This window comes from Homo sapiens, chromosome 17 (genome assembly GCF_000001405.40).
Source record: "Homo sapiens chromosome 17, GRCh38.p14 Primary Assembly".
NCBI classification, from domain to species: Eukaryota; Metazoa; Chordata; class Mammalia; order Primates; family Hominidae; genus Homo; species Homo sapiens.
The window spans coordinates 9,963,811-9,988,111 of record NC_000017.11 but is presented as its reverse complement, the minus strand read 5'-3'; the positions used below and the strand labels follow the sequence as shown (position 1 = coordinate 9,988,111).

At 48.1% G+C, this 24,301-nt stretch overlaps 1 protein-coding gene across 12 annotated transcripts in view, besides 1 other annotated feature; it reads left to right on the top strand.

The window, feature by feature from the left end:
- GAS7 (growth arrest specific 7) overlaps positions 1-24,301 on the top strand; it is a 288,001-nt gene that overhangs the window by 210,495 nt on the left and 53,205 nt on the right. For 11 of the 12 annotated variants that reach the window (NM_201433.2, XM_011524044.4, XM_047436955.1 and 8 more), the window contains 2 exons: positions 6,228-6,308; positions 18,350-18,435. In NM_201433.2, coding sequence (NP_958839.1) covers positions 6,228-6,308; positions 18,350-18,435 — 167 coding nt within the window. The remainder of the gene's footprint in view (positions 1-6,227; positions 6,309-18,349; positions 18,436-24,301) is intronic. The other variant, XM_047436958.1, reaches the window with a different exon arrangement.
- Positions 6,461-6,962: an enhancer, noted in NCBI's record as "H3K4me1 hESC enhancer chr17:9884467-9884968 (GRCh37/hg19 assembly coordinates)". NCBI's record gives its function as "activates a minimal SCP1, AML or CMV promoter by ChIP-STARR-seq in primed H9 embryonic stem cells {active_cell/tissue: H9 hESC(primed)}" and the evidence as "EXISTENCE:reporter gene assay evidence [ECO:0000049][PMID:30033119]".

The window sequence follows — 24,301 nt, the reverse complement described above, 5'->3', positions numbered from 1 at the left end:
TAAAGAGAGGCAAAGAGGAGAAGACTGCAGGAATCTCAGATCAAAGTCAAGACCCCAGAGTCCATTTCCTTCTGCTCTGGTATCTGTGGTTATTTTACCTGATAACCACAGGGGGCAGCAGAGAGCCGGCACAAGCCAAGAAAAGTGGACGAGCCCCAGCAGGAGGCCACTGGGGGCCAGAGGCTTGTAGGTGGGCCCATGGCCAGTCACCATAACCAGTGGCTTAGGTCCAGGGGCTCCTTGTGGCTTTCCCACTGGAGCCCAATATTGCTAATGCAGGCAGGATGCAGCCTTAACAAGGGGAAATGAAGCCCGGAAGTGACTATTTAAAATTAATAACTTCCGCCTAGCTCACTGTTTTTAAAATTTATTATTATTATTTTGAAGAAGGGGCATCTGTGCTTTGAAACTCAGATTTACATAGTCTTCAAGCTTTCAACTGGTCTCTCACTTTACAAATTATTCATTCACTCACTCATCCATTCATTTATTCATTTATAGAGATAGGGTCTTGCTGTGTTGTCCAGGCTGGACTTGAACTCCTGGATCCTATTGCATCAGCCTCCCAAGTAGCTGGGACTACAGGCGTGTGCCACTGTGCCCAGCTGTCTTTATAAGTTTTATTCTATGTGGGGTAGACACTGGCATTCGCTGAGGAGAAGATTAACATCTTTGGCTCTTAGCATTAATGCTAAAATAGTACCTCCCTTAGACTGGTTTCATCCATGGCCAGTATATGGCTCTCTGGGTCTCAGCGGAAGAGGTCTGAATGGAGTTCTAGTTACCACTAGGAAAATATGTGTTTTGTGTGAATTAGGTGGGGTGGGAAGAGGCTCCCCGGGGCACATCTCACTTCTTCCACTCTGACCGCACTGTTCCTCCTAGAACCTCTGGGGCCTGTGTGGCCATGGCTCTGTTAGTAGAGTGTGGGCAGTCATCCGGGATGACCTAAGACCACAGGGATGGACGTCCAGAGAATGCAGAAGGGTCTCAATCCAGCATCTCTTGAGGCCTGGAGCTGCCGCTTCAGTCTTACTGTGACTTGGTCAAGGAGCCAGATGTGTTGTAAGCAGATTAGGGAATCTTGTATTGGAAAAGACCTGGACACGGCTTCCTCCCTGTGGGTAGTATGGTCCTCTGGGGTGACTTGTCCTGCTGCTGGTGAGGTCACCCAGCCAGAGCCCCAGTGGCTCTCTCCAGATGTCTGCCTGGCCTGGCCTGGCCTGGCTCAGCACCATCCCTGCCCCAGGCTCACAGTGTCTTTGTGTTATGGGTTGGTCAGATCTCGCCAAGACAAGGAGATGGACTGGGCTGAATCCTTCAGGCAGCTGCATCGTCCCTGATGGGGCCCATTTGGAGGTTAGAGGGGAGGGATATGGTACTTACGGAGACTCTAGCTTGTGGGGGGTCTGGGAGTTGACCAGGCCAGTGAGGGCAGGGAAAGGGGCCTCCCATCGGGTCCCCACATGGACAGCAGCATTCAGACTGCAGGCCAGCGTCCACCTAGGGTTTCAGAGCCTCCTGCAGCCCCCGGAGCTGCTGGCTGCTGTTCTGATTGCCTCTGTACTGGTAGTTCCCTTCATGGAGGGCTCAAGGATGGGGGATGGGGAGAGGAACGGGGACCAGCAGCTTCTCTGTTCAATAGTCCAGATGTTATTTTGGGTCCGCAGTGGTTGGTGATGGCTCGCAGGTAGTAGGCAAACAGTGATGGATGAATGGGTGCAAGGATGGAAGGAGTAGTCAGTGCATGAATTGTGACCCTCTGCCCCAACCAGAAGATCAAAGGTGGTGTCTGCACATCAGCTGGTGGGACTTCCTTTTAAAATAAGGTCAATGGTGTCAGCCACCAAAGGGGTGGTGGCAGCAGCACAAAGGGAAAGTTTTCTGGGACCTTTTCCCTGCTGTTTATTCCTGGAGAGCACATCAGGTGGGAATCTCTCTTGTGCTGTCACAATGTCCGTCTTTCTGTTGGCCCATCTGTCCTTGCATCCTTCAGGCCAGGTGCCGTATTTGAGAGGGCGAACCAGCCGTGGCTTCGACCCTCAAGGAGATAAGGTGTCAAGGTTAGGATCTGAGCTGTCTGAGGGATGGACAAAGTGCTGATTTCCTAGAAAAAAGCTGGATGGAATGTGTGTGTTGCAGGACTTAGGTCAGGTTCTCAAGAAGACTTGAGGCAGATTTACATGCAGGAGTTTCAGTAGGGTGTGTGCTCCTGGGAGCAACCCCCGGGGAAGGAAGGAAGCAGCATTGCAATGCGGCCACCAAGGAGGCCTCGGCAGCGCCGTGGGGAGCTCTGAGCTGGGAGGGGCCTTCAGAATTGTTTGATTTGAGACAAGGGGATTGGTGGGCCGTTGATCCCCTCTCACCCCAGTCATTAGATGTGCACCCTGCACCCCTACTCTAGGCATAGCCTTGGGCACGGCAGCTCTCTTTGGCTAAGGGCGGTTCCCTGAGAGGGACTCAGCTATGAGCCTCTGCAGCTAGAGAGATTTGGGTGGTGCACTACAGCACCCACTCTAGAGAGTCTGGGGAAGAACTCTTTGCAGGGAAGAAGAGCAATCTTGATAGGCTGCATGGTGGAAGAGACATTTTAGTTGAGACTTGATGAGTGAACAAGGTTGTGATATCCAGGGATGGGGGAGCAGGAGGCGGCAGGTATGGGTGAACAATACGGGAAAGGCGTATTTAGAGATCGGCGAGGCAAGTTAACTGGGCCTGAAGTGAAGCCAGTGGGATGTCAGTCTGGATGCAGTCAGGGTTGGGATCCTGGAGCACTTTGCCAGGAGGCCAGTGGACTTCGGAATTGATTCCGTGTGCCATGTTGGAAAGGAGCTAGCCAGGGATTTTCGCTGTGAAGTGACCTCCGGCGAAAGCTGGGCTCTAGGGTGAGTGGTCCACTAGCTGTGAGTGGACGGATTTCAAAAGGCAGGGAGACTGGCTCTGGAGTGACATGGAGAAGACAAGAGGAACGTGATGGAGGGGCATCTCCAGGCCCTGGGAACCAATTAGATATGAGGGATGGGACATAGGGTGGAGCTGGTGATGGTGAGTGAGCCCTGTCCCTGGTTGTCCAGGGGCCAGGGAACCCAGGAGACTCGGAGGAGAGGGTGGAGAGGGGAGCCCGGTCTTGACTCTGTGGATGTGAAGGCAACAGTGCGGCCTCCAGGCAGGGCTGATTCAACGGGCAGGAGAGAAGAGAAGCCTGCCTAGGAAGGAGCCTGAGGCTGGATGGTGCATCTGCTCCTGGGGATGCCCACCTCGCTGCTTTTGCTCATCGAAGCTCCACCGGGCTTGTCTGTCTGTTTTATTTAGTGCTGAGAAAGCACATACCATGTGCCCGATGTTATCCTAAGTGCTTTGTACAGGTGAACCCAATTAATGCTCTTTCCCAGCCTACTTAGGTACCATTTTCATCCCCATTTTATAGTTGAGAAAAACAGAATATAGAGTTCAGATGATTCCAGAGGTCACTCAGCGTATGAATGGCTTATGACGTGGGCCCTAAGCAGGGCAGTGGTCTTTGAAGTAAGTTCTCCAAGGCTTCCTGCTCTTGCCAGCCAGTGGGTCCCTTGGAGAAGCTCCTAAGCCTGCTGGCAGCCTCTCTCCTTGTCACTCCTCATAAAAGACCCTACTACTGTCTGGTTTATGTTCACACCGTCTCTGCTTTCCAGATCACCCTCAATTCTGTTTTCTCTCCCTTAAGACATGAAGGGACCATATTACCCCTGTTATGCCTGCCCCTGGAGTCCAGGTTCACCCTTCCTGAAACCCAAACCATGGGCCTTGAGACCACCAATCACACCTAGAGAGCGGGAGTATTGGGGCCTACGAGACCAAGTAGCCGAACCTCTTTATTTTGGATGAAGCATCAGAGGACCAGAAGGGTGGTGCGATTTGCCTAGGGCTGCACGGTAGTTTAGGAGCAAAGTTGAGTCAAGAACCCAGTTTTGTTTTTATTGTTTGAAACAATTGAATTTTCAGTAATGGAATTTTTAACTAAATAATGTTATATCCTCATATCAGACTAACTTTAAAAATGACTTAGCGCTAGAGGCATGTATGTGGGCCTTTGGTATTGGTACAGTATCTCCCTTGGGTGGACACCTTATTGAACTCATTTTACATAGGAGGAAAGGGAGTCACAGAGAATAAGTAGCTTGGCCAAGGATAGTGGTGGTGAGAGGCAGAGCTGGATTCCAACCCAGGCAGTCTGGGTCTAGAATCACCACACTAAACAGAGCCTAACTACTTTGCTATACCGCCCCCTTCAGTGATTTTGGAAAGTTTTTAAAATTTATTTTTATTTTATTTGTTTATTTATTTTTGAGATGGAGTCTCACTCTGTCACCCAGGCTGGAGTGCAGTGGCATGGTCTCAGCTCACTGCAACCTCCACCTCCCAGGACCAAGCGATTCTCGTGCTTCAGCCTCCTGAGTAGCTGGATTACAGGCACACACCATCGCGCCCAGCTAATTTTTGTTATTTTTAGTGGAGATCGGGTTTCACCATGTTGGTCAGGGTGGTCTCGAACCCCTGACCTCAAGTGATCCACCCGCCTCGGCCTCCCAAATTGCTGGGATTACAGACATGAGCCACCGCGCCCGGCCTATTTTCATTTTTTGAGACAGGGTCTTGCTCTGTCACCCAGGCTGGAGTGTAGTGGCGCCATCATGGCTCACTGCAGCCTCGACTTCCCAGGCTCCAGTAATCCTCCCAGCTCAGCCTCCTGAGTAGCTGGGACCACAGGCACGTGCTACCACACCTGGCTAATTTTTGTATTTTTGGTGGAGATGGGGTTTCACCATCTTGCCCAGGCTGGTCTCAAACTCCTGAGTTTAAGCAATTCACCCACCTCAGCCTCCCAAAAGTATTGAGATAAGACGCATGAACCACTGTGCCTGGACAGATTTTGGAAAGGTATTCACAAAAATTTATACATAAAAAGAATCTATAGTTTGATTTTGTCTCATTTTAAAGAGAAACATATGCTTAGAAAACAAATCAACATATGGATACCAAAATGTTGATGGTGATGACCTCTGAATGGTGGGATGATGGGTGATATTTATTTTTGTGTGTTTTCCTGCATTATCAAATTGTATGTAGTGAGAAAGTATTATTTTTATCACTAGATAACTTCATAAGAAGTCTCTGCTCATGGCAGTGAAATGGGTAAAGTAGTGTTTGGGGGACAATACTATAGCTTGCAGTATTAGTTTTCTCTCTTTCTTTGCTTTCTTTGCTTTCTTTCTTTCTTTCTTTCTTTCTTTCTTTCTTTCTTTCTTTCCTTTCTTTCCTTTCTTTCCTTTCTTTCCTTTCTTTCTTTCTTTTTTTTTGAGGCAGAGTCTCATTCTGTCTCCCAGGCTGGAGTGCAGTGGCACAATCTCGGCTCACTGCAACCTCTGCCTCCCAGGTTCAAGGGTTCTCCTGCCTCAGCCTCCTGAGTAGCTGGGATCACAGGCACGTGCCACCACGCCTGGCTAATTTTTGTGTTTTTAGTAGAGACAGGGTTTCACCATGTTGGCCAGGCCGGTCTCGAACTCCTGACCTCAAGTGATCTGCCCACCTAGGCCTCCCAAAGTGCTGGGATTACAGTTGTGAGCCACTGTGCCCGGCCAGTTTTATTTCTGATTAGAGCCTGTAGCAGGGCATTGGAAGAGAGAGAGGTGACCAGGCAAATTCAGCAGTTACAGCTCAAATGAGACTTAGAACTGCGAAATCAGGAAGAAACTTGGAAGTCACCACCAGGTGGCAGAGGGCCCCTGTCTCTTTACAGGCTCCTGCACCTCTGTGCTTTGGAGTTTCAGGTAACAGTGGACATTTGGGGAGAAATACCTGGTTGGCAACTTCAGGGTTCCAGGAGAAGAGTCCAGAGCCCCGAGACAAAGTAGGGGTGAATGAAGAGGCAGGTTGGGGCAGAGGATATTTTAGAGGATCTTGACATCTCAACAGGAAGTCCATCTCCTTCTGGCCCCAGCCTCATCAAGAAGGGCCCCCAGCAAAAACAAGCTCTGTGGTCATGGGATGGTGGAAGGGGGCAGGGGCCAGGAAGGGAGATGGATGGATATGGGAGCAGAAAGCAGGGTCCTGTCTGGCCAGGGTTGGGGAGGAGGGCGATTGGCTGTCTCTCTTTTTCTCCAGCTCTGAGCATCTCCTTCTGCTCTGTGAAACTCAGGTTCTGCCCTGTGACATTCTCAAAGTGATTTTCTTTGCTCTTCTTTCACCAGAGACCACCTGGGAACGTCCCAGCAGTTCTCCTGGGATTCCAGCCAGCCCTGGCTCTCACAGGAGCTCTCTGCCTCCAACAGGTAATGTCCGCTGTCTGCTTTGGGGCAACTGGGAGGGCCCTGATGCCACATTCAGTGGAGAGGCTGAGATGATGGGTCCTGGGTCTTAAACCTGGCTGATGTAGCAAACCCAGGGAGGGGTTGGGCCTGGGAGAGGGTCCCTTAGGCCTGCTGCCAAGCAGGTTGGTGTCTCCCTGGCAGTGCCAGCAGCAGCTCTGGTGGCCTCCTGCACACTCCTCCTCAGGCGCTTAGTGGGAGGAGATGGCTGGGGGAGGTGAGGTGTCAGAGCTCTTTCCTGTCTGTCAGGGGCAGGAAGACCTGAAGTGTGGACAGAACCACCCTATGTGGCTCTTGTGGACATCACGGAGTAGAAGCTAAAAGGAGGTAGATGTTTACAAGGCAGCTTTCAAATAAAACACCTGAAACAGTGTGAGGGAGACCTTTTGAGGGTGTGAGTTCCCCATCTGCAAAGGTAATCAAGCAGAGGCAGTTGAGATGGACGTTCTTTTTTGTTTGTTTGTTTGTTTCTCTTTTGAGACAGGGTCTCATTCTGTCACCCAGGCTGGAGTGCAGTGGTGCAGTCTCGGCTCACTGCAACCTCCCCTTCTGGGTTCAATGGATTCTTGTTCCCCAGCCTCCCGAGTAGCTGCGATTGCAGGTGCGCACCACCACACCCGGCTAATTTGTGTATTTTTAGTAGAGACGGGATTTCGCCATGTTGGCCAGGCTGGTCTTGAGCTCCTGGTCTCAAGTGATCCACCTGTTTTGGCCTCTCAAAGTGCTGGGATTAAAGGTGTGAGCCACCGCGCCTGGCTGAAATGGACATTCCTATAATAGGTGGGAGGTTTGTTCAGGGGCCTCTTGGGAGACATCTAGGTCTGAGATTCTGGAAGGCAGGTTATGGGACCCATCAGCAGGGAGAACAACATCTCCTTTCATGTGGCTTTTTAAAAATGTCACCTCCTCCAAGAAGCCTTCCCTGACCACTCAATTTTGAGCCCTCATGCAGTCACTTTAGATCTCAGCCGCATGCTATTTTAATGTCCCCATCATCCTGTTCCTAGTTGACCTTCACTCTCCCATGCTAGACTGTAAGCTCCCTGAGGGTGGGGACTTTGTCTGTTTCTTTTGTGATATCCTCAGTCCGCAGAGCCTGGCTTCCGTGTTGAACTAATTCACCAATGTCTCCACCATCCTATGGTGTGTGGAGCACACTTGTTGGTTTTCGACTTCAGGAGTCAATCTGGCAGCAAAGCATGAAAGTCAAAGTTGTGGTTGGGGCTGGGAATTTAATCTTCCAATGCCTTGAGCGTGACATCCTCAGCTTCTGTGGAAGGGAGGTGAGAGCCTGTGTAAAGTTTTCAGAAGAAAAAGTAATCCCTGGTCTAAATAGTTTACCTGAAGCAGCACAGGGAACCACAGGAAGGACCAAAGGTAATCACAGGACTCTGGAATACTGGATCGGAAGAGGGAGGTGGGACGCAAAGCGAGTGGCCAGATCCTCACCTTTCAGAGCAGGGAGTCTTTGGATATTGTCTAGCATTGAGACCTGAAGACATGAAAGTGCACATTCAAAGCATATTGCTTAGGCATATGACAGTTGCCAGCAGAAGAGCTCAAAACTGGAAAAGATGGGAAAATATTACCTCTAGAAAATCAGCTGAGGCGTGGGAGAGGTGATAGGAAGGTGGGTGTTTTCTATCAAAAATTATTTTAGGTTTTCAAAAGCACTTTATTTATATTTATATTATTAAATTTTTAAAAAAATAAGAAAGGAACCCCCTGTGTGGGAGGGACATGGGGCAGCTGTGACGGATTTCCTAGGGAGACAGTGAGTGCTGCCATCTCAGACCAAGTCCCCAGAAATGGGCCCGTTCGTACTGTAGCTGCCGTGTGACAGCAGGCAGTTCTGAGCCCACTGGCTTCTCTTTCAATGTTGTTCTTGTGTTTTTTTTTTTTTTTAAAACAATCAAAATGCCAGTGCGAATGACGCAAGGTGTGTCCTTTTTCCTGGCTGGCTCCAGGCCAGCCAGACACTAAAAAGGTAACCCAGCTGTCTTTTCCAGCCAGAGTGGTCGGTGAAGGAGGACAGGACAGGGAGGCCGGCAGAGGGAGGCTCGGATGTGTAGAGACAGCACGTGTGACTCGCAGCCTGCCCCGTTGGTGAGGCTGGTCGAGACTTGCCCTTTGAGTCATGGGGTCACTTCTCCAAAGCCTGCTCTCCTGGGACCCTCCACAGGCAGCATCTTGTCCTCTCTGCTGTTGATGGGGGCTGTCCTGCAGAAGGGATGCTCACAGGAGCTGCCTCCGGTCCCTGGCTTAGAGGCCTGGGTTTAACAGGCTCCCTTCTTTACCCTACAGGTGCATCAAGAGCCTCTCTCTGTCCAGCGCTGCACTGTGTGCTGGGCCCCTAAAGGGGGCTGAGAAAGGTGGGGAGATGGGTGGAGAAGGTCAGATATAGAGATGAGAATTGCCCGCATGGCCAAGGCTAGACTGAGTGTGTTGACAACTCCTGTCCCCCTCTGCCCCCATCCCCAGGGTGCTGGGGTAGTATTTCCTAAGGTGGAATCCTTGGGATCCCAGATGTATCCGTGCTCCATGAAGGAGGATGAAGAAGGACAGGCACATTAGCATTCTGAAGACTGCAGGAAGGCCTGAAATGAAGAAACCTATTTAACTCAGTTCGTTTGTGCTTTGTTTCTTTGTTTGAAACATACCACATATGTGTTAAGCTTTCCTCCCTCTTTTGGGTGGTTTTGCCTACCAGGGGACATTCGGCAATGTCTGGAGATATTTTTGACTGCCAGCACCGGGGGGAGGGGCTACAGGCATTTAGTGGGTAGAGGCCAGGGCTGCTGCTGAACATCCCACAATGCACAGGCAAGTCTTCACAACAAAGAATCACCTGGCCCTAAATGTTTACTAGTGCCGAGGTGGGGAAGCTCAGTTCTAGAGTGACCCAGAGCCTCAGTTCAGCGCTGCTCAAGGGTTCCCAGACCATGGCCCATTGAAGCAAGAAGCAGCAGCTCCCTACGTCAGCATGAAGAGTCCTGTGTCATTGATTCTGAGACATACATTTTCCCCTGACATATTAATATCTTGGAAGTCAGATGCATCTTACAATCAATAGTATATACTAGTTTATTAGAGACATGGTCTTGCTCTGTTACTCAGGCTGGAATACAGTGTCATGATCATAGCTCACTGCAGCCTCCTCCTCCAGGGCTCAAGCAGTCCTCCTGCCTCAGCCTCTCAAGTAGCTGGAACTACAGGCGTGTGCCACCACACCCCGCTAATTTTCTTATTTTATTTTCTTCTTCTTATTATTATTTTTTTCTGTAGAAACAGTGTTTTGCCATATTGCTCAGACTGGTTTTGAACTCCTGGTCTCAAGTGATCCTCCCAAAATTACCCAAATTACAGACATGAGCCACTGCTGGCCTCAATCACTGGCATCCTAGATTTGTGAAATTACAAATGTTAAACTGGGGCCTTGGGCATGTTTCTCCTTGCCAGGCCTCATTTTCCCCATTCATAAACTTGAGGGCCTGGAGAGAGATAAAACGAGGCCCTGCCCATCCATGCATGCTTTTGGATTATTTTGTTTGTTTGAGGTGGGGTCTTGCTCTGTTGCCCAGGCTGGAGTGCAGTGGTGTGATCATGGCTCACTGCAGCCTTGACCTCCTGGGCTCGAGGGATTCTCTCACCTCAGCCTCCCGATTAATTGGGACTATAGGCACATGCCACCTTGCCCAGCTAATTTTTAAAGAATTTTTCATAGAGACAAGATCCCACTATATTGCCCAGGCTGGTTTCAAACTCAGAATCCAGTGATCCTCCAGCCTCAGCCTCCCAAAGTGCTGGGGTTACAGGCATGAGCCGCCATGCCCAGCCAGCTTTACTTTTGTGTTGTAGCTTTGTTAACTTCTAGAGAGAGTTTGAAGGGCCACCCACAGAGCTGGTTCATTCTTATTAGTGCAGGTTTGTTGGATACTGGTAAGCAGAGGCAGCCAGGTTGCCAACTGGGAAGAGAGTTCTAGAAACATGCCTAGAGTCCTCCCCCAACCCCCCCCTTCCCCACCCCCGCACAAACTAGACTCCAGTCTTTGAATGTTGGGTGCTACTTAGGATCAGACCTGGGCTGGGGACTTTGCCTGCATTCCATCCTTTAATATCACCAGAGTTATGGAAGCTGTGTTTATTCAGTAGCTTTACTAGAGGTGTTTAATGCCAGGCTTTCTGGGTGAGACCCGCATGAGTAAGAAATAAACTTTAAACCAAAACAGAACACCTAAGACGCCATTCAGTAACTGCTGCAAATATTGAAAGTCCTCTTTGGGCTGGGCTTAACGTGCAGTGTGGAAATACTGATTTGTAGAGAGAAATAGTAACAGGCAAAGAGAAAGAAAATGAGTGAAAAGGGAGATGCTGGGAGTTTCATGTATGAGTCATTGGGTAGAATGAAGACAGTACAGGGCAGTGTTGTCCAGTAGAACCCTCTGTGACAGTATAAGCATTCTTTCTCTGTGCCTTCCAATATGGTAGCCACTAGCCATGTGTGGCTCTTGAGTACTTGAATGGGGCTGGTATGTCCAAGGAGCTGAATTTTTCATTAATTTAATACCTTGTTAAAATTTGGGGAACAATTTTTAATTTACAGAAAAGCTATAAAGACAGTAACTTCCTGTGCCTTCTGTACTCAGTTCTCCCGGTTGACATCTTACATAACCACGGTACATTTGTCAAAACCATGAAATTGACATCGTGCATTACGAGTAACTGAATGTTAGACTTTATTCAGATGTCATGAGTTTTTCCATTCATGTCCTTTTTCTGTTCTTGGATCCAGTCCTGGAAATCATATTGCATTTAGATTTTATTTAAATTTGATTTGTTTAAATTCAAATAGGCATCTGTGGCTTTTGTGTCAACAGTGCAAATGTGGAAAGTGAATACCTTTCTGAGCCTCTGGGCCTGGGATATGCATTGAACTTACGTGTTTTTCTTAAGGATAAAAGAAATCTATTATTTTTTGAGGTTGTCCTGGTGGGCGGTTGTGGGAGTGTTTCAGGAAACATGGGTTCAGGATCTGGCTTTGCTCAGCCTTGGGGCTTCAGCCCACTGAGGGATCATCCTTAGGCCTCCAGTAGCCTCAGGGAACCTAGATTAAAGGGGAGAGAGTGAATGCCTTTGCAGAGGCTGAAGGGCAAGGAGGACCTTCCTTTGAGCCTGAGGAGCCGGCCAGGGATATGGTTAGGGAGGCAGCTGTGCTTCCTCTGAGCAGGGGCTCTCTGGGGAGGGGGCTCCTGAACCCAGAGCCTCACCCTCGCCCACACCTTCTTCTCCAGATCAGGAAGCCTGGGACAGCTCTCCTCTCCCCTGCAGGAGCAAAGGAAGACCCTCGCTTCTTGCGAAATTAGCCAGTCTCAGGTTCAAAGCAGCTTCCCCAGCACTCTGACTTAGACCTCACCCCTGACTCCAGGGAAGGCCCTGACACCTTCTGCTGGAAGAAGTGCATGTTCCCCTAGAACCAGTGTTCTTGCTGGCTGAGGCTCCTGGGACCTTACAAAGGCCTGTTTAACCTCTGATGTCCTGGAAAGCAGCCACAGGTGTTTCACTATTCACAACCATGTGGGAAAATCTTTTATCAGTCTGTCTTTGGGAACGCAGTTCACATCTTAGACAACTAGGAGAGACAGTGAGGACCAGGTGGCCAGAGAGAAATTTCTGGAACAGAAAGGTATTTATGTAAAACTGCTCCCCTAAATGGGCCATGGTGGACAGTGGATCCTCCTGAGAAGGTGAGCATGGTGACCAAGGAACCTGCGAGGCCTTCCAGGATGTGGTGGGAGGAAGGAGGCTGTAATTGTGCCCTATGTCATCAGACCGGATGAGCACGGAACTGCCCCACTTCAAACCTTGCATTCTGTGGCCATGACTGTGTGTCCCAAAGTGGATTTCACGGTAGCCCTGCTGTATTTCCCTCAACGGGTTCTGCGTCTGTGTGCGCGGAAGGATGCTGCATGCTGTTGCCTTGTTTGAGATTTCAAGCGCATGTCAGCATATTCTAAAAGGCCTACTGTAAATAAACTCAATCTGAATAATGGGGTGTTTGTCCTAAATTCTTTGGACCGTAACACTGACCCTTTACTATCACTGCATAACACTTACAATACACATCTGGCAGAATTGCTATCCTGTTTAACACACCTGGGGAAACATTAGGCTGTACTATGTTTAATATGTGATAGATGAGGAAGGAGAACGGGTGGAAGGAAGGAAAAAGGGGGGGGTGAGAAAGAAGGAGGGAAGGAGGATGGGTAGAAGGAAGGGAGGAAGGAAAAAGAAGCCCGAAGGGAAGGGAGGGAGGGAAGAAGAGAGGGGAAGAGGAAAAGAGGGAAGCGAGGATTTCAAGAACCAGGGCTTCAGCACTCCGGGGTTCCTCAACTTTGTTTTTTTTGGTTTGTTTTGGAGACAGTTTCGCACTTGTTGCCCAGGCTGGAGTGCAATGCCAGGATCTTGGCTCACTGCAGCCTCCACCTCCCGGGTTCAAGCAATTCTCCTGCCACAGCCTCCCAAGCAGCTGGGATTACAGGCGTGCGCCACCATCCCTGGCTAATTTTTTGTATTTTAGTAGAGATGGGGTTTCACCATGTTAGGCAGGCTGGTCACGAGCTCCTGACCTCAAGTGATCCGCCCTCCTCAGCCTCCCAAAGTGCTGGGATTTCAGGCGTGAGCCACCGCTCCCAGTCACCAGGTTTCCTAACTTTGAGGAGTGAAATTACTATGTTTATTCCAGAGAGAGGAGAAATTAGGCCAGACCTACAGGAGGTATAATAAGAGAGTGTTCATGGCTGATTTTCTTATGTTCTTTTGGGTTCCTCAGGGAACAGGAACCTGGAGAGTAGGGCTCTGAGGATGCGACTTTTTCCCTCAGGGATCGGTACTGAGATATGGAAGCCGAGCTGTGGGTGGGGGTGAGCCCTGGGTGGCGGAGCTGCTGGCGCTTCTTTGTTGCTTGGCCTTTCTCGATAACTTTTCATATTCGCCTTTCTTTTCTGTTTCTGTTGACTTCTCCCTACCCAGACCTCCCTCCTCTTTTCTACCCAAATATCTGTCCCCTCCTCTCATTAGACACCTCCTAAGCCCTCTCAAGTTGCTTAACTGCCTATAAGGGAAATGAAGTGTGTGGGTGCCTGTGTGTATTATTTATATTTGAAGCTGCTAAGGTTACTAACTAGATAGAGCTTTTAGTTCCCTTTTTAAAAATCTTAAAAACAGATGAGTGTGACATTTGCTTTTTTTTTTTCCTTGTATCTCCAGACTGAATTATGTTCCCTTTATGAGCGATCCTTGACCAATTTCATTTTTCTTCCCCCAGAGGCTGGAGGCCCCAGAAGCACCCACTTCTCGCCTCATTTGTTTTGTGGCTGACCCTGGGTGAGCCGGGAGCCCCCAGGACAGGGAATAGCAATGAGGAATGCCGTGGGTGAGGGTTGCCAGGATCTTGTGGGCTATAACTGTCTAGATCTCCACTGAGACGTATTCTGAATGTGCCCGGGAGACTTCAAGTGATAACGCAGCCAGACAGGGTGTCCGAGGAGAGCTGCTACGTGGGGAGAAAGGGTCGAATGGAAAACTGTGTTTTCTTTCCTCGTAATTGTTTTGACATGAGCAGTAATTAGCCATCAGCTGACAGACCAGAACTGAAGTGGGAACAAGGGATTGGATTAGGGGCAAAATGTCTCCTCTTTAGACAGTTCCTGGCGGCTGCAAGTGTGGGGAAAGACTGGGGCAGAGGAGAGGCAGGACCTGGGCATGCATTTGGAGGGTCTGGGGAGGGAGGGAGTCAGGGTCTCCTCAGGAGCTGGGACAACCTTGGTTCATGGGGACTCAGCATTATCAAAGATAGAGATTTATTACCTACTCAGATAAAAACTTGTGCATTTCATTTTCGAAAGCAGACTAAACATGGTTCCCTTGTGTATTGTTTGATTTTAAGACCAGGGTCATGTTGACTTTGTAAAATAGACCTGGAAGCCTGCCACATGTTTCTATGCATGGATGTGTCTTTCTGGAGTGTGTGAATGAATTTGCCCATCAAACCATCTGGGTGCAGTGCCTTTTGCGGGGAGGTCATTTTTCAAAGGTTTCACTTCTTTTTGGCATCTCTTGAAACCCTTTTGATAATTTGAATCTCATGGAAGGTTTGGTGTTGAAGATACAGAATTATAAGTCATATGTTCTTGCATTTAAAAAGTTTCTACTATAAGTACAGCACGGTGGCTCATGCCGGTAATCCCAGCACTTTGGGAGGCTGAGGCTGGCGGATCACTTGAGGTCAGGAGTTTGAGACCAGCCTGGTCAACATAGTGAAACCCCGTCTCCACTAAAAATACACAAATTAGCTGGGCATGGTGGCGGGCGCCTGTAATCCCAGCTACTCGGGAGGCTGAGGCAGGAGAATCACTTGAACCCGGGAGGCGGAGGTCGCAGTGAGCCGAGATCGCCCACTGCACTCCAGCCTGGGTGATGAAGCAAGACTCCGTCTCAAAAAAAAAAAAAAAAGTTTCTACTATATTTGTTGTGCCATTGTTTTCTTTCTAATCCCTAATTCTGAGCATTTGTGTTCTCTTTCCCTCTCAAATTACCCTGGCTTATCTGCTGTTTTTATTGTTGTGATGCACACACACAGAACCAGCCATGGTTTGCTAATGGTCTCCCGTTTCCTGACTCGTTAATTTCTGTTACCACTTTTCTATTCCGTTCTCCTGTTTTCTTTTGGCGTATGTTATTGGCCTTTAAAATTTTTTCCCCAGATCTTAAGTTGAATGTTTAGTCCATTTATTTTTGTTCCTTTGGGTTTGGTAATGAAATAATTAAGGCTGTGGATTTTCCTCCAGGTATACTTCAGACTTTATCCCATTTGTTTTGATATATTCTTCTTTATTATTTTCTAAATATTGTGTAATTACAGTTTTAAATTCCTTTTTGATCTGGCATTATTTAAGAGGGCAGTTTCTTACATTTCTAAGTGTTTAGGAGTTGGGGGGATGGGGATCTTGTATATTTATTCTTTCATTATTAATATCTACTTTTATTGCTTTCCTGGTCAAAGAATGTGGCCTGTGTTTTTTATACCTTTTGCCATTTATTGATAGTTTATTTGTGGCTTAAATGTGACCAAGTTTTTACATGTTCCAGGGCTTCCTGGCAGAAGATGTTATCTTTGTTTGTAGGATATGATGTTTACTACATCTATTTCAATCAGCCTTTTAAATTAAATTATTCGGGTCTTCTTTATCCTCCTTGTTTTTGTCTGTTAATCAGTCCTAAACTGAAAGCAGTGTCCTGAGGTTTTCTTCTGTTGTCTTTAGGTTTTTCAGCATCTGTGTTTTATTCAGATAGTTCTATGCTATTTGATAAAATTTCTCCACTCTCATGCCCTCGTTGTAGGGTGTATTTATCATCAGGCTCATGTCTTTCCTGGCATAGCTTGATGCCAGTCAGAGTGGATTCTCCTTGGCCCCCTCAGCATTTTCCCTGATGCTGTTGGAATCCTGTCCTTGCCTCTTAAGCTGCCTTCATAGCGGGTGGATGGTATCTGCACTTGGCCAGCTGCCTGAGGGATGTGGGTGTGGCCCAGGCTTGTAGCTGGCCCTGCAGGGTGGATTTGTTGTTTCTTGTTGCTTCCCTCAAGCTTCTACTGTACTAGGGGCCTGCTGTGGATCAGCTTGCTATTTCCTTGGGATGTGTGCAACCACCTTATTCTGGAACGGGGGGTAAACCCTGTAGCTGGGGGAGAAGCCCAGCTGCGCACAGGCACTCAGCTGCATGTGGCCCTGCTTGGCCCTGGAGTGTTCACTGCAAGTGGTGGAGAACGGGGCACCACCTGAGCAGGAGACGGGTTCTCCGTGGAACGGGCTTCATCATCCCATTGCCCAACGCTTGCCTCCAGTCCTCGTCGCTCCAAATGAGTAGGTGTTGGTGGTAACTTTCAGCCATATTCTCCTGTGCTTCCTGCCACGCTATAGAGTTTTCTCTAGAAGAATCATGAGTTGGACATCAGTGTGTAGATCTTCCTCCAGTCTGACCTGCATTGTATATATTTATTGGCAATTACTTGAAGCCTGGGTCACGGGATGGCGCATCGTCCTGGTCTCCTGAGATCACGCAGGCTTGTGGTTCCTGGGGACTCAATTCAGGAACAAAAGCAAAGACCTTCCCCTTCTGGATGCCTCTGCTCCCCCACTTTTTTGATACAGGGTGTCACACTCTGAAGTGTGGGCTGGAGTGTAGTGGTACAATCACAGTTCACTGCAGCCTCCACCTGCCAGGCTCAAGCTATCCTCCCACCTCAGCCTCCCGAGTTACTGGAACTACAGACATGAGCCACCACACCCAGCTAATTTAAAAATATATATATTTTGTAGAGATGAGGTCTCACGGTGTTGTCCGGGCTGATCTTAAACTCCTAGGCTCAAGCAGTCCTCCCTCTGCCTCCCAAAGTGCTGGGATAACAGGCATGAGCCACTGCCCCCTGGCCATTCCTCCCTTTTTAATTTTTTTTAAATTTTTTCTATTTTTAAAAATAGAGATGGGGTCTCACTATGTTGCCCAGGCTGGTCTGGAACTCCTGGACTCAAGCGATCCTCCCACCTCCACCTCACGAAGTACTGGGATTATAGGCGTGAGCTACCGCACCCTGCCTTTCATCCTTCCCTTTTTTAAATGAAGTGCTTTATGACTACTTATAACTTTTGCTATTATCGCTTTGTTGGATTCTCACACCAACAAAGTAGGTCAGGAGAATACGTAGAATTATCCCCATTTTACAGGTACAGAAGCTGAGGGTCACTGAGGCGAAGCTGCTCGTCTAAGCTTATGTAGTTATATTTCTACAAGAGCGGTACCACCTGGGAACCGAGATCACGTGGGTCCCAGTGTGAATTCGTGATGTCAGGAGCGTGCGTGTAGCGGCGTTGGGGCTTGAAACCGTCCATGCTGGGAGTGTCTTTGGCACAGAAATCGACAGATACTACATATCAGGGCTCCCCCTGTTCCTTGGAGAGCAGGTTTATCAGCAAGTGTTGGGAGCATGAGTGAGTGTCCCCCAAGAGACATAAAGTTATAAGGGTAGAATTTTAGAGCCTCAGATAATGTGTTTTTTTTGTTTTGTTTTGTTTTGTTTTTTGATGGAGTTTTGCTCTTGTTGCCCAGGCTGGAGTGCAGTGGTGCAATCTCAGCTCACTGCAACCTCTGCCTCCTGGGTTCAAGCGATCCTCCTGCCTCAGCCTCCCGAGTAGCTGGGATTACAGGTGCCTGCCACCACGCCTGGCTAATTTTTTTGTATTTTTAGTAGAGACAGGGTTTCACCATGTTGGCTAGGCTGGTCTCAAACTCCTGACCTCACATGATCCGCCCACCTCGGCCTCACAAAGTTCTGGGATTACAGACATGAGCCCCAGCTCCAAGCCAGATTATGTATTTTTAATTCTAGGAGAACGGTGACTCAAGAATGAAGTGCATATGATCACCTGACTATTAATTGACAGAGCCTAATTTCACGGTGACCAGTCAATCCAGTCCTCTTTCTAGTATATTCACACTCCGCTGCTCTGAGTTTGAGGGTGGAGAAGTTACTAAGAAAGCTGAGGGAAATTGTTGGAAGGTGGTGGAGAGCCCCCCGCCCCGACTCTACGGAGGGAGATTGGACCCGTGACTGGCATTTGTAACTACAACTGATGTGGTATTTGTAGCAAAGGCAGCTGGACCATAGTGACCTCCCCTCCTGTTAGGCACATTCCTTTTGCTCTCGGGTTAAAAAAGAAACTCAGTCCCCTAAGAATTCAGTAATTTGGGTGCTGAGGATTAGAGAGATGCCTTCAACCCATTTCCAGCTCTGCAGATACAGATAAGATCAGATCCTGAGGGATGGTCTTCGCCACGCAAGACCTCTCAGAGCCAAGGAAGGAGGTGGGAAAAGGGGCTGCAGTGGACGAAAGGCGGGGGTGCCCATCTGTGGCCCACACAGCATCTGAGCCGTGTCTCTGTCCCTGCAGTGAATGGATACCACGCATCAGGGACCCCAGCGCACCCTCCAGAGACTGCCCACATGAGTGTCCGAAAATCCACCGGTGATTCCCAGGTAAGGGGTCCTGTTGAGGGAGGTATAGCGGTCACTGCTTCTGCAGGCCTAGGAAACTGCATTACAAAGTCCATCATGGGAGTCCAGGTGGCTGCAGCCCAGTTCTGCCCCCAGGTAGAAAGTGGTTGCTGTGTCTGGGTTGTTTCAGTGTTCCCTGATGGGGAGAGGGTTGGATGATTGTGGTCTGTTGGTTTTCTAGAAGTCGAGGGTGGTTTGGAGGAGGGGTTGACGGTGATGGGGTTGAAACCATTAGGACAGAGAGTTCCATTCTCTGGTCTGGATTCCTGATACCTGAAGCCTGTGTTTCTCACCACTTTAAGAGTATGGATGTGCCAGACAATTTTCCTTTTCTCTACCCTACCCCTCCCACGGACAGATTACCCAGAATGGAATTTAGTAAAATTTGATCATCTCATTTGATAAAGTAGCATAGAGAGAGCTATGAGATGGAAGGAAATGGGAGTATGTTGTACGATTTCCAAACTGTTTTCTCAGTCTCCATCCTACTTGATGTTTATGCAAACATGTGAGTTAGGCGTCAGTAACAACTCAAGGTATGCATGAGGTCACCGAGGCTCCAACTGGTTTTGTGACCTGTGCAGGCTCACAGGATTACTCAGTGGTTAGACTGGACCTTGATGTCAGTGCTTACGGCTTTTCTAGTTGCGTGAAGCTGTGCCTAAAAAACTGAGGACTAGCCTTATTTAGTCTACCCATAAATTATCAAGAAGATGTTCTTAATGAAGCTTCCAAACTCCAGCAGCCTTTTCCAGGAATTAAAATGCCAGAATCCTGGAGGTGATAATGAAAATGATGACAATAATGATCATTGATGATGATCATGATGATAATATTGATGATGTTGATGATGACAGTAGCTGCGTGTGCAGTGGATTCTATGTACCAGTCACTGGAAGAAGGAAATCTATACTTAACATAAGGAAAAAATGACTGGAAGAAAAATAAACCGGAGGATTGATTATGGTTCTGTCTGCATCTGAGACCGTGGTTCTTAATCAAGGGACATTTGGCAACATCTGGAGACCCATTGGCTGTTAGTATAATCAGCTGAAATGTGACACTCAGCTTTATCATGGACAAGAGTGTTAATTTGGGGGAACGTTATTAAGTCGTTCTGTTAGGATGCTGAGTGTTGGGCTTCGATTCAGTTCAGTTAACTCTGGAAAAGAATTTGAACCTCAGTGTATGTCAGGACTTCTTATGTTTTGATGGACTTAGAGTGAGCTGGGCCTCTTGTTAAAATGCAGATTCTAATCCAGGAGATCTAGGGTGGGGGCTGAGGTTCTGGGTTTCCAGCCAGCTCCGAGGTGACGCTGATGCTGTAGGTCTGAGGACCACTCCTGAGCAGTGGACTAGCAGTCAGTAGCACACAGCTGGCCTATCGGTCTCCTTCTCTCCTCTGCTCATGTCACCCATCATGAATCAACCGTGGCTTTGTATGTTTCCTGCTGAGCTCCCAGCTTGCCTTCTCAACACAGATTCTGTTATCCTGTTTGAAGTGAAACTTACTTTTGTCTCCTGATTTGAGACTGTTTTGGAAGACATCAGCCTAAATTCTGATGTGGTTCAGCAACGATGACAGAAATCTGGTGTTACCCTGGGCATCATCAGGAAGAATATGAGAAACAGCTCCCCATCCTCAAAATCATTCTTTCTTCCCTGATAAAACATAATCCCTTCTGAAATACTGTGAAGTTGTTACTCATCTATTTTAAAGAATGGACACTGGTATAACTGATATCTCAGAAGCTGATTTAACACTGTGCATTATAAGCCATCGACACAGGGATGTCTTGTCTAGTGTCTGTTCTTGGGGTATCTTGAGGGGTTCTGATTTATGTGCAAGGCTATTCACTCACACATTATTTACAGCACCATAACACTAGACCCAGCCTAACTGTCCTGCAACAGGGGATGGGTAAAAGGGATGATGGCGCTGGAGGTTAGCCAGTGATACTATGCAGCCATTAGCAAGCATGCTTCTGAAGAAAATGCAATAATTTGGGAAAGTACTCACAACATAAAATAGAGTAAAAAAAAAGTAGGACACACATTGCATATATAGTCAGTCTTATTTGGCAGAAGGAAATCTATACTTATCTATACTTAGGAAGAAGGACTAGAAGGAAAACTGGAAAACGTACGGTGGCTCTGTCTGCGTCTGAGATCATGGCTATCAATTGGGACTTTTGACAATGTCTGGAGACGTTTGGATTGTCACGCCTGGGGAGGGGGGGTGCTACTGGCAACTAGTAGGTGACACCAGGGATGACGCTGAGTATCTCGCAAGGCATGGGACACCACAGCAAAGAAGTGCTCAACTTGAAAACATGAATCGTGCTGAAGTTGAGAACCTTTGGTCTAAGATCATGGGTCATTTTATTTTCTTTACACTTGTTGTTATTTTTCAAATTTCCTAAAATGAACACATTTTACTTTTATAGAAGGCAGATACAATTTTTTACTTAAAAAAAAAAAAAAAAGCTACAAAGTAGGTACCAGTATGGGGAATTCAGGAGAGGCGAGCTCTGGAGATGCAGGCCCGGGTAGATAGTGGCTGCCTAAAGACAGGCGGATTGAGTCAGACTCTTTTTGGATGGTAACCTTGGGAGCTGAGGTGTCATCAGGGTAACAAAAATAAATCATGTAGTATATGGAGAGGGCGAACGTGCGTTGTTCACCAGTCCCAGGATCAGGAGGTAGAATGTTATTCTTTTAGGCTTTGAAAGGGTAACATTTGTATATAAAAGCTACTACTTTTTTAAGTTAAAAATAATTAGGAAACAGGGTGTCCCTGTGTTGCCCTTGCTGGAATGCACTGGCTGTTCATGGAGGTGATCGTAGATCACTGTGACCTCAGCTTGGAACTGCTGGGCTCAAACAATCCTCCCGCCTCAGCCTCTGGAGTAGCTGGGACTGCAGGCGCCGGCCACCACGCCCAGCTAGCTACTACTTTTTGTCCTGGTTTGTGAGCCTGCAGGCTGGTTATCCAAAAAGGTGCCAAGAGTTAAACATACAAATAGGTTAAGAAGGTTTGGTGTTTACAGAGAGCTCTACCAACAAAGGGTCCCCAGGTATAGACCCCACTCCAGCATGCAGACGAGTAGATTCACCATCCCTGCTGTCAGTTATCACTCATGATAACTACACTTAAACATCAATAAATGAATAAATGAGCAAAGGAACACTTGAGATGCGGCATGTGGGGTGGATAAAGTGGCATGTTCAGGGTTACAGTGACGAAACCTAGACTGGAAAGCCCCAGATCTCAAAACCCGGTTGTGATCTCTTTCCGCCCCCTGCTTAGCTGCCCCTCCTTGAGCAAGCTGATCAGGAAGATTAGAATTTTGGGGGGAGGGGGCGGTCGTGGTGGCTCAAGCCTGTAATCCCAGCACTTTGGGAGGCCGAGGCAGGCAGATCAGGAGGTCAGGAGATCGAGACCATCCTGGCTAACACTGTGAGACCCTGTCTCTACTAAAAATACAAAAAATTAGCCGGGCGTGGTGGCGGGCACCTGTAGTCCCAGCTACTCGGGAGGCTGAGGCAGGAGAATGGCATGAACCAGGGAGGCGGAGCTTGCAGTGAGCCGAGATTGCACCACTGCACTCCAGCCTGGGCGACAGAGCGAGACTCCATCTCCAAAAAAAAAAAAAAAAAAGAATTTTGGGGGGTGGGTGTCGGGGGATGGGGAAAGGGACTTTCCACGGACACCAGTAACGTGTCCCCACCATACTATGTCATGGGGAGGACTGATAGTGGGTGCCCCACAGTTCCTGAGGGTGCCTGCCCCGCTCCTTCACTCAGCCCTTGGAGACCTGGATGGGTGGGCACAGGAGGTGGTGATCTGGTGCCACCCAGTGGAGGGTTTCAATTCTGCAGCCCTGGGGCAGTCGGCCCAGGTACTGGGTAAATGCAGCCCACCTGATTCGGGGGCAGAGGCGAGGGATCAAAGGCGAATCATCTTTTTTTATTTTTTATTTTACTTTAAGTTCTGGGATACATGTGGAGAACGTGCAGGTTTGTTACATAGGTACACATGTGCCATGGTGGTTTGTTGCACCTATCAACCTGTCATCTAGATTTTAAGCCCTGCGTGCAGTAGGTATTTGTCCTAATGCTCTCCCTCCTCTTATCCCCCACGCCCCGATAGGTCCTGGTGTGTGATGTTCCCCCACCGGTGTCCATATGGTCCCATTGTTCATCTCCCACTTATGAGTGAGAACATGCGGTGTTTAGTTTTCTGTTCCTGTGTTTGCTGAGAATGATGGCCTCCAGCTTCATCCATGTCCCTACAAAGGACATGAACTCATTCTTTTTTATGGCTGCATACTATTCCATTATGTATATATGCCACATTTTCTTTAGTCTATCATTGATGGGCATTTGGGTTGGTTCCAAGTCTTTGCTGTTGTAAATAGTGTAGCAATAAACACGTGTGCATGTGTCTTTATAGTAGAATGACTTATATTCCTTTGGGTATACTCAGTAATAGGATTGCTGGGTCAAATGGTATTTCCGGTTCTAGATCAAAGGCTAATAGTCTTGCTGCCTTTGCAGAATCGCGTCCTAGTGGGTCCCTTCCCTTCCTGCCCACCAGTGCCTGGGCCTTTTTGTGATCCACCTTTCAATTGTTCTGGCTTCTCACGAACTTCCCAGGAAGACCCTCTAGACACAGGAGAGAGGAAAGAGAATGGGACGAAGGGCTTGGAAACTTGAGGGACCCATTGGAGCATGGAGTTCAAAGTGGAGAAAGAGGTGAGATGTTTAATCTCCACCACCTCCTACCTACCTCAATAATTCAATAACACATGTTCTTATTGAGCAATTTCGGTCTTTGTCAGGCACTGAGACACAGGTGATATCTATAGCCCTGCGTTGATGGAGTTTTATGGCTGGTGTGGGAGAAACAGTAGATAAATAATGGTGCAATTTCAGCAGTGACAAAGGCTGGAGGAAGTGGATGCTGTGAGAACCTAGCCTGGTGCTGGAAATGTCAGGAATTAAGGTACCTTAAGAAAAGATACCTATTCTAAGACTGGAATGATGAGCAAGGGTTTCACTTGGCAAAGAGGTGGGGAAAGAATAGCTTTCCAGGGGAGGGAATAGCATCGTGGATGCCTGGAGGCAGCAAGGGGGAACCGTGTTTACGCATAGAGACCCAGTGTGGCTGTGGCTTACTAAATCAGCAGGAATAGGGAGGGTGGGAAATGAGGCTGGGGTAGTCTGCGCAGGCCTGCCACGAGGAGCTCAGGGGTTATCCTAACTGCACTGGGAAGCCATTGAGGGGTTTTGTACAGGATCCCACCTGCTGAAGGGATGGGACCCAGATTATTTGCAGGGGGGGAGGAAATGGGCTGAGAAGACATTTGGAGTCGGGGGCCTGCTGAATCACTTGTGAATGACCCACTCCAGTTTACCAAGCACTTCCTGTGTGGTATCACCCCCTGCCAGGCCTCAGGGTGATGCAGAGATGCCCAGGTGGGGTGTCCTGACCCCTGGGCAGGCCTTTACAAAATAAATGGAAGGGAAGAGTTCTCTGGAATCACAGGCAAAGGAAATTTAAAACAAATACTCTTATTATAGGCATTTGCAAACCTTTGCAAAAGTAGAGGGAATATATAATAAGGTACCACAAATCTGTTAAGCCCAACGATTACCTGCCTTTGTCCAATCTTGTTTTATTTGTGCTCCCATCCCCTCCCCCAATCCCCTTGCCCTCCACCCCCTAGATTATTTTAAACCACATTTCTGACTTACTGTTTTAAATGCAAATATTTCAGAATGTATCTTCCAGGAAGAAGACATAATGATAATACCATTATCATATTTAAGAAAACATTAATTC